Source organism: Homo sapiens, chromosome 22 (assembly GCF_000001405.40).
Source record: "Homo sapiens chromosome 22, GRCh38.p14 Primary Assembly".
Classification (NCBI taxonomy): Eukaryota; Metazoa; Chordata; class Mammalia; order Primates; family Hominidae; genus Homo; species Homo sapiens.
In genome coordinates, this window is record NC_000022.11 from 29,638,800 (window position 1) to 29,651,602 (window position 12,803).

Consider the following 12,803-nt stretch of genomic DNA (forward strand, 5'->3'; position numbering starts at 1 on the left):
TAGTTTTTAACTATTCTGTGGCCCTGAGAACATTTATGCCTTAATCCTAGCTCTGCTCACTTCTTGGGGCTATTGATTAATTTGTTTCAGAAACACCATAGGAAGTGAATATTACCTCTTGCTATAGGTGACTTTGTGAATACTTCAAACTGTAAAATCACAACTTTCAGGAAATGTGATAAATTTAGTGGGAAAAAAATTTAATGCACGCCTTGCAAAGGCTTCTTTGAGGGTAGCACAGGAGGAAGTGCCAATATAGTGTGTTTGTCTTTTGCTCTGCAATTCTGCAGGTACTGGATCATGATGTTTCAAAGGAAGAACCAGTCACCTTTCACTTCTTGGCCAAATTTTATCCTGAGAATGCTGAAGAGGAGCTGGTTCAGGAGATCACACAACATTTATTCTTCTTACAGGTACATCAGTCAAGGCTACCCCCCAGTTCTGAGAGAACTTGCCCAGGAGTGGTTGCAGAGTTGGCCTCAGAGTTGACCACAAACACCTTTGTATTGCAAAAATATTCTACCTCTGGAAGGTCAGCCCCTTTGGTTCTGTAATGGAAAAAAGGCTTCAGAACAGAACTATACTTGAGTGATGAAAATTGGTGTCAGATGAAATTGTGAAGGTGTGATGGTGAAGAATGGATACAAGTAGCTACCTAACTTAAAACCTCCTTGAAAATGGGTCCTATTTTCTTCTAGCTAACTTAAAAGTACTCAATAGTTTCAAAGGAAGGCTAAAGAGAGAGTCTTATAAAGCAGTAGTTCTTCCAAAAGTTTAAAATCTGCTCTCATTAAGAGAGGACTGGCCGGGCATGGTGGCTCAGGCCTGTAATCCCAGCACTTTAGGAGGCCGAGGCGGGCAGATCACAAGGTCAGGAGATCGAGACCATCTGGCTAACATGGTGAAACCCCGTCTCTACTAAATATACAAAAATTAGCCGGGTGTGGTGGCAGGTGCCTGTAGTCCCAGCTACTCGGGAGGCTGAGGCAGGAGAATCACTTGAACCTGGAAGATGGAGGTTGCAGTGAGCCAAGATCGCGCCACTGCACTCCAGCTTGGGCAACAGAGTGAGGTTCCGTCTCAAAAAAAAAAAAAAAAAAAAAAAAAAGGACTTCAGCCGGGCGGGTTGGCTCACCCCTGTAATCCCAGCACTTTGGGAGGCTGAGGCGGGCAGATCACGAGGTCAGGAGTTCAAGACCAGCCTGACCAACATGGTGAAACTCCATGTCTACTAAAAATACAAAAATTAGCCAGGCATGGTGATGCATGCCTGTAATCCCAGCTACTCAGGAGGCTGAGGCAGGAGAATCACTTGAACCCAGGAGGCGGAGGTTGCAGTGAGCCAAAATTGAGTCACTTCACTCTAGCCTGGGTGACAGAGTGAGACTCTGTCTTAAAAAAAAAAAAAAAAAAAAAAAAAGAGGACTTCAGAGCTCTAGTGACACTTGGTTTGTCCCCCATATGTGGTACTTCAGACATCGTGCTTCATGCTATGCTGTGTCTCTAATTGTCCTATTTCTTCCTTAATTCCTCATTAGATTGTAAGCCCCTTAAAGGCAAGCCTCATTAAGTACACAGTAGGCATTCCATAAGTAATTGTCCCACCGAATTGAAGAAATTAAGAAATTCACAATTACAGGTTGACCATCCAGAGGCACAGGGAGGGGAACTGGTCTGAGGATGAAAACCTTATCAGTTTCACTTATGTTCTTACTGCAGGTCAGAGTGGCTCCCCAGTTTCATGGCCAGTTGCAGTGATTGGCACTGGGGCTATTTGTGTGCTCAAAGGTTTCAGTAATGTAAAAGATGGCAGTAGGGGCATTAATTACATGATTTCCCAGAGATAGTTGGGTAGTCTGTCACATAGCCCTCCTGTAATTAATTTCAGCCTCAGTATATTGTGGTCAGCAAATATTAAGTTAAATATAATAAAACCCCCTAAATTCTTTTTAAAAAAGGTCTGGGGGGCGTGTGTGTGTGTGTGTGTGTGTGCACGCGCAAAAGAGGTGACAAATTTATTTCTGATGTTTGCAGATCAAAGGGACACTCTTAGGCTGGGCGTGGTGGCTCATGCCTGTAATCCCAGCAATTTGGGAGGCCGAGGCGGGTGGATCACCTGAGGTCAGGAGTTTGAGACCACCCTGACCAACATGGAGAAACCCCGTCCCTACTAAAAATACAAAATTAGCCGGGCATGGTGGCACATGCCTGTAATCCCAGCTACTTGGGAGACTGAGGCAGGGGAATCACTTGAACCCGGGAGGTGGAGGTTGCAGTGAGCCGAGATTGCGCCATTGCACTCCAGCCTGGGCAACCAGAGTGAAACTCCTTCTCAAAAGAAAAGGGATGTTCTTGCAGTTTTTCTATAGCGTTGCTTTTTCCCCCCTCTCTTTGGAAATGAAACCAAGGGATTAGAAAGTTGCACTGCTTGAGAAACATCTCAGGTTTCATTTTCTCTCTAAGAATGTAAAATCACTTTTAAAACCTAAGAAGAATTTTTGTGTTTGAACGTAAACACCTAACAATCTCCTAGGTCCCAGAATGTCCTAATGTTATAGAAATGGCTTTCTTGTAAGTACTTGGAAGCACTGCCTGTCTCTTGTGTGACTGACTTGATTTTCCCCATACTGAAATGTTAAGGCATTTTTATGACTGAGCAAGGCAAAATTTACTGCTTTTATGAATCCGGTGACTGTTGACATCTGTGAGAGGAGAGCTGGCTTTCCTGCTGTGTTTATTTCAGTGTCCCCCTGCCACGTCATGCAGTTGTCTTGCTTCTGTGTCTGGAACATCCCAAGTTGCACCATTCTAAGAAAATTAAGTGCAATGAAATATGTTAATTCAACATTATGGCTTAAGAATTATATTTCCTGGACCTCACGTGTACTTAAAAGTTGAATCGATCAAATTTTATTGCTTCCTTTTCCCTTAGAGCAGCACGTTGAGAGTGATGGTTTTTTCTGCAATCATAACTCAGTGGCCTTGGTGACTTTTGTCTTGTGTTAATACTTAAAAGTAGATCCATTTCCTCTGGGGCCATGCATATTCAAAGGGGCTGAGGCTGTAGTCATCCCCAGAGCTGCTCTTGACACTTCTTGAGTTCATAGCGCTCTGTCACACAGCCTCTGTTGTAACTACAGAGACCGTTTTTACTCTTCAGCATTGATCATGAAGAGAAGAGATAAGGGGTTTTTATGCATAGCCGTCATACCAGTAACTTCTGTGACTGAACTCTCCACCTGTCTGCATCAGTAAAAAAAAAATTGTACCCTTTGTCAGAAAATTATTAACAGGCTGCTCTGGCAGCCCTCATTAGAACGCCGTGAGGCCATCTGTTGTGATCAGCCTACACACCTCACTTCCACTCACAGAGTATCATGTCTCCCTTGTTGCTCCTTTCAGGTAAAGAAGCAGATTTTAGATGAAAAGATCTACTGCCCTCCTGAGGCTTCTGTGCTCCTGGCTTCTTACGCCGTCCAGGCCAAGGTAGGCTCAAAGAAGAAAAATGTATTTTTCCTGGGCGTTAATTTGGGTCATGGGATCACTCCTATCTTCTCTTTCTTTGGGTTTTCTGTACTTCAGAGAGACTTGCCCCAGAAAGTGAGATGTTATGGGACTTGTGGACTTGAAGAACCACTGTCACTGTTCCAGTGTTTGTATAATCTTGTGTGTGTATGTGTGTGTGTGTGTATGTGTGTGTGTGGTGTGCAGAAATTATAAGTATCGTTCTAATGAATTAGAATTCATTCTAAGTGAATTCATTCAGAAAGATGAATTTCCTGTGTAATCTCATTATGTACATGTGGTTTATGACATTTACTGGAAAAACCTTTTTTCTTTTTTTTTTTTAAACCATAAACTCAACCATGTGGTACAACCTTTCTATTAGCCAGGAAAAATGAATTTATGGTCTCCAATTTTAGCCAAACATGGCCTTTAGGTCAGAAAGGCCCAGGTCCTCACTCCAAACTCATTTGCAAACAAGCTGCCTTGTGTGTGGACACTACACTACACCTTCAGAGAATGCCCTGCTTCATCTGCCCCTGATTGACATGCTAGCTGTTCATGTGGCTAAGCACTGCAGGTGCTGTGGCCCACCAAGCCCACTTGAGCTGTCTGGTTAGCTGAAAATCGTTCACTTCCGTTAAATCACTATAGACCTTTTTTTTTTTTTTACAAGACCGATGAGAGGGTTAGCCACGGAGTTTCATGTCCCTCAGATTTTTCACTTCAGTCATATATCACCTTCTCTTGGTTCCCCTGATCCCTGCCTTTCACCAGAGCACAAGATGTTGTCCCCAGAATTGGGGCTCCTTGATTACTTGTGTGATTTTATTTTATTTATGTTTTATTTGTATTTTTATAGAGATGGGGTCTCACTATGTTGTCCAGGCTGGTCTTGAACTCCTGAGCTCAAGTGATCCTTCCACCTTGGCCTCCCAAAGTGCTGGGATTACAGGTCTGAGTCACCATGCCTGGTCTTACTTGTGTGATTTTTTTTTTTTTTTTTATTGATCATTCTTGGGTGTTTCTCACAGAGGGGGCTTTGGCAGGGTCATAGGACAATAGTGGAGGGAAGGTCAGCAGATAAACAAGTGAACAAAGGTCTCTGGTTTTCCTAGGCAGAGGACCCTGCGGACTTCCGCAGCGTTTGTGTCCCTGGGTACTTGAGATTAGGGAGTGGTGATGACTCTTAATGAGCATGCTGCCTTCAAGCATCTGTTTAACAAAGCACATCTTGCACCGCCCTTAATCCATTTAACCCTGAGTGGACATAGCACATGTTTCAGAGAGCACAGGGTTGGGGGTAAGGTCACAGATCAACAGGATCCCAAGGCAGAAGAATTTTTCTTAGTACAGAACAAAATGAAAAGTCTCCCGTGTCTACTTCTTTCTACACAGACACGGCAACCATCCGATTTCTCAATCTTTTCCCCACCTTTCCCCCCTTTCTATTCCACAAAGCCGCCATTGTCATCCTGGCCCGTTCTCAATGAGCTGTTGGGCACACCTCCCAGACGGGGTGGTGGCCGGGCAGAGGGGCTCCTTACTTCCCAGTAGGGGCGGCCGGGCAGAGGCGCCCCTCACCTCCCGGATGGGGCGGCTGGCCGGGCGGGGGGCTGACCCCCCAACCTCCCTCCCGGACGGGGCGGCTGGCCTGGCGGGGGGCTGACCCCCCCACCTCCCTCCCGGACGGGGCGGCTGGCCTGGCCGGGGGGCTGACCCCCCCACCTCCCTCCCGGACGGGGTGGCTGCCGGGCGGAGACGCTCCTCACTTCCCAGACGGGGTGGCTGCCGGGCGGAGGGGCTCCTCACTTCTCATATGGGGCGGCTGCCTGGCGGAGGAGCTCCTCACTTCACAGACGGGGCGGTTGCCAGGCAGAGGGTCTCCTCACTTCTCAGACGGGGCGGCCGGGCAGAGATGCTCCTCACCTCCCAGACGGGGTGGCGGCCGGGCAGAGGCGCTCCTCACATCCCAGACGGGGCGGCGGGGCAGAGGCGCTCCCCACATCCCAGACGATGGGCGGCCGGGCAGAGACGCTCCTCACTTCCTAGATGTGATGGCGGCCGGGAAGAGGCGCTCCTCACTTCCCAGATGGGATGGCGGCTGGGCAGAGACGCTCCTCACTTTCCAGACTGGGCAGCCAGGCAGAGGGGCTCCTCACATCCCAGACGATGGGCGGCCAGGCAGAGACGCTCCTCACTTCCCAGACGGGGTGGCGGCCGGGCAGAGGCTGCAATCTCGGCACTTTGGGAGGCCAAGGCAGGCGGCTGGGAGGTGGAGGTTGTAGCGAGCCGAGATCACGCCACTGCACTCCAGCCTGGGCACCATTGAGCACTGAGTGAACGAGACTCCGTCTGCAATCCCGGCACCTCGGGAGGCCGAGGCTGGCGGATCACTCGCGGTTAGGAGCTGGAGACCGGCCCGGCCAACACAGCGAAACCCCGTCTCCACCAAAAAAATACGAAAACCCGTCAGGCGTGGTGGCGCGCGCCTGCAATTGCAGGCACTCGGCAGGCTGAGGCAGGAGAATCAGGCAGGGAGGTTGCAGTGAGCCGAGATGGCAGCAGTATAGTCCAGCTTTGGCTCGGCATGAGAGGGAGACCGTGGAAAGAGAGGGAGAGGGAGACCATGGGGAGAGGGAGACCATGGGGAGAGGGAGAGGGAGAGGGCACTTGTGTGATTTTAAAACATAATCTTTTCACTTATTTTTCTTTTTAATTAAAGGTGTTCATGAAGCCATTTCCCTTAAGGTTAGAAAAAATAATAAAATACTCTTAACTCACTTTTTGGGGTAGATTAATGCAATTTCAGATCAAAGCCAGGAAGTAACTGTCATTTGTGGGGAAAAAAGGCTATACATGCTAGTCAGACCAATAGAAGCACCAAAGTCAATTTAATCATTTGATGGCTCATGTAATATTTGCTGAGTATTCATCAGGCCCAGGGTGGGGAGAGAGCATGAGAGTTGTTGACCATCTCATAGTTGCAGGCACTAAAGCAAGTATCTGCCCTCAGTGATTTGCCCAAGATCATTCAGACAATCTTGGGCAAAGCTAAGAGCAGAAGGGTAGAATTCATGGCTTTGAGATTGCATTTTGTGCCTCCAATATTCTACTTTCCTGAAAAATTAGTAATTGAGAAAACAGAAAATGGGCCCTCATTCAACTAAAACATATGCTTCCTTTTATGCTTTGATCAAGAATATTAGTAAGAGGAAAAATGTGTCCTTTCAATCAGTATCACCCCGACAGTGATGAAGCAGTCATTGGCACTTTGATTAAATCCGAGCACTTCCTGGCCTGGAGTTGAGTTCCTTTTCGCACGCTTTCTCCCCAGCGAGAGCAGACCCAGCCTCTCAAGGACACCACCTCTCTTTGAAGGGCTTCCATCTCAAAGGCTACATTTTCTTTCCATGGATTTTTGGGCCACAAATTCAAAGGCCACCTGTAGAAAAAAATTACTTTTCAGTGAACCAGCAGATGTTTGCTTAAACAGGTTTCACTGTAGGAAAGCCCTGCTAATTTGGATCGTACTAATTTGGAGATGAAAGTGATTCACAGACGACATATGTGGCTCACATGGAGGAGGATGTTCTAGCTATTTTTTCTGGTGTAAATTTTAAGGATCTTACAAATAAAGGTAATCTATGGCTTAAAGTCTTCATTTGGGAAACTAAGGCTTACTATGACATACTTCCAGTTTCTAGGACTGCTGGTTAATAGTTAAAGGATATCTGATTATAATATTAATAAGATCTTACATGCCCATAGTGTTTTCTAGTTTTACCAAAGCAATACAAATGAATATTTTGTGCGACACTCAGTGTAGTCTTTCCAGAAGCCAAGGCTTGAGAGTATTATGCCTGTTTTGCAGATGAGGAATTTAAGGCTCAGAAAGGGATTTGTGACTTGTGCAAACTCACAATACTTTTATGTTAAGCCTATTTTTATGAAATTTTTAGCCCACTTCTCGATGGAGAGGATTTCAGGCCAAATAGAATGAGTGGAGCTGGGATGGGAACCCTAGTGTCCAGGCTGCCTAAGTTAGCACATTGCACTTGCCTGTCACTGTCTAGCTTGAGGGAGGTCTTTGGGTAGCAACCACTGCCTTTCACTAAAGGCTAGTTTCATTTATATGATCACATTTGTCTAAGTTCTTCAGTAAGTCATACTGGTTCCTTCCATTATATTCAGCTTGTTTTCTTCCACAACCTTTCTGAAACAGAAAGGAACTTTAGAAGTGTGGAAGGGAAAGCGAATTGAGCTCATTAACACATGGAATGTAATTATGCACAAATGTATTCATTACAGTATTTCAGCTGTTGGAATGATATAGACACAGTTAATTCCAAAGCATAAAGAAACAATTACCCTCAAAGTATAAATACAATACTAATCACATGGTTCAGTTAACAAGAACCATATATGAGTTATACTTGAATCAAAAGTGTAGGCAGGGACTGGGCACAGTGGCTCACACCTGTAATCCTAGCACTTTGGGAGGCCAAGGAGGATGGATCACCTGAGGTCAGGAGTTCTAGACCAGCCTGACCAATGTGGTGAAACCTAATCTCTACTAAAAATACAAAAATTAGCCAGGCGTGGTGGTGTAGTCCCAGCTACTTGGGAGGCTGAGACAGGAGGATTGCTTGAACCTGGGAGGTGGAGGTTACAGTGAGCTGAGATTGAGCCATTGCACTCCAGCCTGGGTGACAAAGTGAGACTCCATCTCAAAAAAAAAAAAAAAAATGTAGTCAGGGTTTTTTTGGTGCAGTCACATGACACACTAAACCATCTTGCAATGTTTAAGTCACCTGTTGGATTGTATATTGACCATTTGGTGTTGGAAATGTGTTCTTATTGAAAATGACTTTGGGAGAGAATGGCATATAATTTATGAATCTCATGTTGCTGTGTGCAGACTCCTAGTGATCAGAAGAGAGAAAAGAATTGTGGGAAGGGAAGCTTAGTTTCTTAGTACTCTTTAATGCAAATCAGGGACAGAGTGCCAAAGTACAATTGAGTTAGAAAATTGAGTGTGTAAAGTGTAGGTAGAGAGTGGCAAGAGTTGAGGCTGGAGAGGTATGCAAAAAATCAGATCTTAAAAGGTCTTAACTTTATCCTGTAGGCGATGCAGTGAAGGGTTTATATTTTAGATAGAGCCTGTAGTGGCTGTGTGATGGACAGATTGGAGTGAGACAACTTTGGAAACAGGGAGACCTATTAGAAGGCTGTGATAGTTGCCCTGGTGAGAGAATATTAGGTTCACACTTCAGGTGGTTGGTTGGATGGGGGCTGACTGATTTAAAAATATCCAGGAGATAAAAAGTTGATTAGATGGTGCTATACTCTGCATATCCCTTTTTTTCATATCCTTTTACAGAATGGTATTTTTCTTCCCACTCAGCATCTACTTTGAGATGTATCCATGTTGTGTGTATAGATGTAGCTCACTGATTTTAATTGATTTAATATGGTAACCACTGATAAATAAACCTAGTTTATTTATCTGTTCCTCTTCTGAGGGAGAGGTAGTTTGTTTCCACTTTTTCCTTATTATCTAAACAGTGCTCAAATGAAGATCCTTTTATGTGATTCCTTATGTACATGTGCAAATGCTTTTTCCCCTTAAGGTAGGTGCCTACGAAAATAAATAAATAAATACATACATACAAAAAATAGCTGGGTGCAGTGGTGGGCGCCTGTAGTCCCAGCTACTTGGGAGACTGAGGCAGAAGAATCGCTTGAATCCGGGAGGCAGAAGTTGCAGAGAGCCAAGATCACACCACTGCACTCCAGCCTGGACGACAGAGTGAGACTCCATCTCAAAATAAATAAATAAATAAATAAATAAATAAATAAAGTAAAAAAATTAAAAAAGGTAGGTGTCTAGAAGAAGAATTGCATAGAATTGACAGAAGAGGTGAACCCCAATATAAAAAAAATCTTAAGTTGATAAAAAGACAAATGCTATAAACAGGGCATGAAACATGCACTTTATAGAAGAGAAAACAAGAATGGTCATAAATACAAAAAGATGTTTCATCTCACAGGTAATCAAGAAAAAGAAAAAACAACAATAAGGCAACATTTCAAACCCATAAGATTGGCAGGGATTACTAGATTGGGTAACTGCATTGTTGGTGCTCATTTACCTGCCAAAGGGATTGTGAAATTGGCATAACCTCTGTAGAGCACCAAGTGTGGAAGGGACGGGTGGAAGTGAGGAGACACACCGCTGGCTGTTCCAGGTGGCTACTCCAGAGGAATCTCTGCACACACATCCTTTTCACTTAAAACTGTCACAACAGATAGACCCACTTCATTTTCTTTTTCTTTTTGAGACAGCAGTCTCTCTCTGTCACCCAGGTGGCACAATCTCCACCCACTACAACTTCTGCCTCCCAGGCTCAAGGGATCCTCCCACCTCAGCCTCAGCGTATGCCCTGCTAATTTTTGTGTTTTTTGTAGAGACAGGGTTTCCCCTTGTTGCCCAGGCAGGTCCCAAACTCCAGGGCACAAACTCTATACCCGCCTCAGCCTCCCAAAGTGCAGGGATTACAGGCATGAATCACTGCACCTGACCCCAGCTCATTTTCATTTAACTGCCGAACTATGTTTCATAGAAAGGAGGGACTGGATTATTTAAATATATCTTTATTGGTAGATATTTAGGTTTGTTTTTCTTTCTGTTGTTTTTCTATTGGTGAAACAGATGCAATGGACATCCTTGAATATGCATCTTTGGGCATATATGGATAATATCTCTCTATAATAGATATCAAGACATGGTATAACTGGGTTAAAGAATAAGAACATTTAAAATGTAAGTAATGTGAAGCAAAAAAAAAAGCCAGACACAAAAGGCCACATATTTTATGCTTCCACTTACCTGTAGATGAAATGTCCAGAACAGGCAAATCCATAGAGACAGAAAGTAGATTTAGTGGTTGCCAGGGAAAGGGAGAAGGAGGAAATTAGGAGTGACTGATACTGGCCAGGCACGGTGGCTCACACCTGTAATCCCAACACTTTGGGAGGCTGAAGTGGGTGGATCACTGGAGGCCAGGAGCTTGAGACCAGCTTGGCCACATGGCAAAACCCTGTCTCTACTTGGCCGGGTGCGGTGGCTCACGCCTGTAATCCCAACTCTCAGGGAGGCAAGAGGTGGGAGGATAGCTTGAGCCCAGGAGTTCGAGACCTGCCTGGGCAATATAGCGAGACCCCTTTCTCCAGAAAAAGGCAAAAACAAAACAAAACAAAACAAAACAAAAGACAAAAAATATATAAAAGCCAGCTGTGGTGGCATATGCCTGTAATCCCAGCTACTCAGGAGGCTGAGGCACGAGAATCACTTGAACCCAGGAGGCAGAGGTTGCAGTGAGCTGAGATTGCACCCCTGCACTCTAGCCTGGGGTGACAGAGTGAGACTCTGTCTGAAAAATAAAATAAAAATAAAAAAGGAGCCACTGGTACAAAAAAAAAAAAGAAAAAATGAGTAAGACCTACTATTTGATAGCACAACAGGGTGACTATAGTCAATAATAATTATACACTTAAAAATAACTACAAGAACATAATTGGATTGTTTGTAAAACAAAGGATAAATGCTTGAGGGGATGGACACCCCATTCTCCATGATGTGATTATTTCACATTGCACACCGTATCAAAACATCTCAGGTACCACACAAATATATATATACCTACTATGTACCCACAAACATTAAAAATTAAAAATAAATATAACTTACAAAGATTAAAAATGAAATTAGAAGTGATGGCTAGTGGGTACAGGACTTCTTTTTGGGGTGATGGAAATGTTCTGGAATTAGATAGTGGTGATGGTTGCACAAGATTCTGAATATACTAAAAAACACTGAATTGTACACTTAATGTAAATTTTATGTATATAAATTTTATCTCAATAAAAAATTTAAATAGATATAGCCAAATCACCCTCCAAAACTGATGTCATAATTTAACTTTCAATAACAGTGTGTGAGAATACCTGTTTTTCCACATTCTTGCGAACAGTAGATACTATCAGTCTTTAAAATTTTTGCTAATTGATAGAAAAAGATTTTTTAAAATTTGCATTTCCTTGATTGCTATTGGGACTGAACGTCTTTTCATAAACTTACTGTCCATTTGTATTTCTTTGTTCTGTGAATCAACCGTTTATGACTTGCCTACTACTGTATTGTTTGTTTGTTTCTTTCTTTTTCTTTCTTTCTCTTTCTCTTTCTTTCTCTCTCTCTCTCCTTCCTCCCTCCCCTTCCTTTTCTTTCCTTTTTCTTTTCTTTCTCCCTTCCCTTCCCTTCTCTCCCCTTTGCTCCCCTCCCCTCCCCTTCTGTTTCTTTTTCTTTTCTTTCTTCCTTTCTTCCTTTCCCAGGTTCAAGTGATCCATCCGCCTCAGCCTCCAGAGGAGCCGGGACTATAGGCATGCGCCACCATGCCAAGCTAATTTTTGTATTTTTAGTACAGATGAGGTTTCACCATGTTGGCCAGACTGGTCTGGAACTCCTGACCTCAGGTGATCCATCCGCCTCGGCCTCTCAAAGTGCTGGGATTACAGGCATGAGCCACTGCACCCAACCTGTTCATCTTTTTCCGATTGATTTGTAGATGCTCCATGTATTATGAGTTATCAACCTTTTGTCTATTTTACGTATAGGACTGGTCAATCTTTTTCTTTGTATGTTTTGAGTGACTTTTAGAATGCGTTTACCAACCATTATTATATCCATACTCTGTTATGTTTTGTTCTGGTATTTTTATGGATTTTCATTTATAGGTTTAAGAATTTATTGACTGGTGTGTGGGTATAGTAGGGAGGGGGTCTGTCTTTTTTCTATATATGTAGTAATCTAACCTTTATGTTTTTGTGAAATCCTACTCAGAGCATTTTATCTCATTTCTCATAGTTATAGACAGGAAATTATTTCATATCCAGATAGAGCCTCCGTTTAACCTAAGTATTGGCTCCACAAGTCTTTTAAATGGTAAACTCCTTGAATTTAAATTCAATTAGTTTATGTCACGAGTAGGTCCAGGTTTTCTGGGTCTGAATTTTAATAATTTAGGGGATTGTCTTTAATGCAAGAGTACCAAATTAGGTACAGGCATATGAAGGTGCAGAGACCTGAAATCCAAGCTTCCTTAGCTTCCCAGTAAATTCACCCTGGTTACATTATCAGAATGCATCTGTTACATAAAACGATGAGGAGCAGCCATCTCCATCCCTGGAGTGGTATGACTTTCTTTTGTATTCACCAGCTACCACAACTTCAGGATTTT

At 43.7% G+C, this 12,803-nt stretch overlaps 1 protein-coding gene across 26 annotated transcripts in view; it reads left to right on the forward strand.

The window, feature by feature from the left end:
* Positions 1-12,803, forward strand: part of NF2 (NF2, moesin-ezrin-radixin like (MERLIN) tumor suppressor) — a 95,045-nt gene that overhangs the window by 35,244 nt on the left and 46,998 nt on the right. For 17 of the 26 annotated variants that reach the window (NM_016418.5, NM_001407056.1, NM_001407053.1 and 14 more), the window contains 2 exons: positions 291-413; positions 3,403-3,486. In NM_016418.5, the coding sequence (NP_057502.2) occupies positions 291-413; positions 3,403-3,486 (207 nt within the window). The remainder of the gene's footprint in view (positions 1-290; positions 414-3,402; positions 3,487-12,803) is intronic. The other 9 variants (NR_176267.1, NM_001407058.1, NM_181829.3 and 6 more) reach the window with 1 other exon arrangement.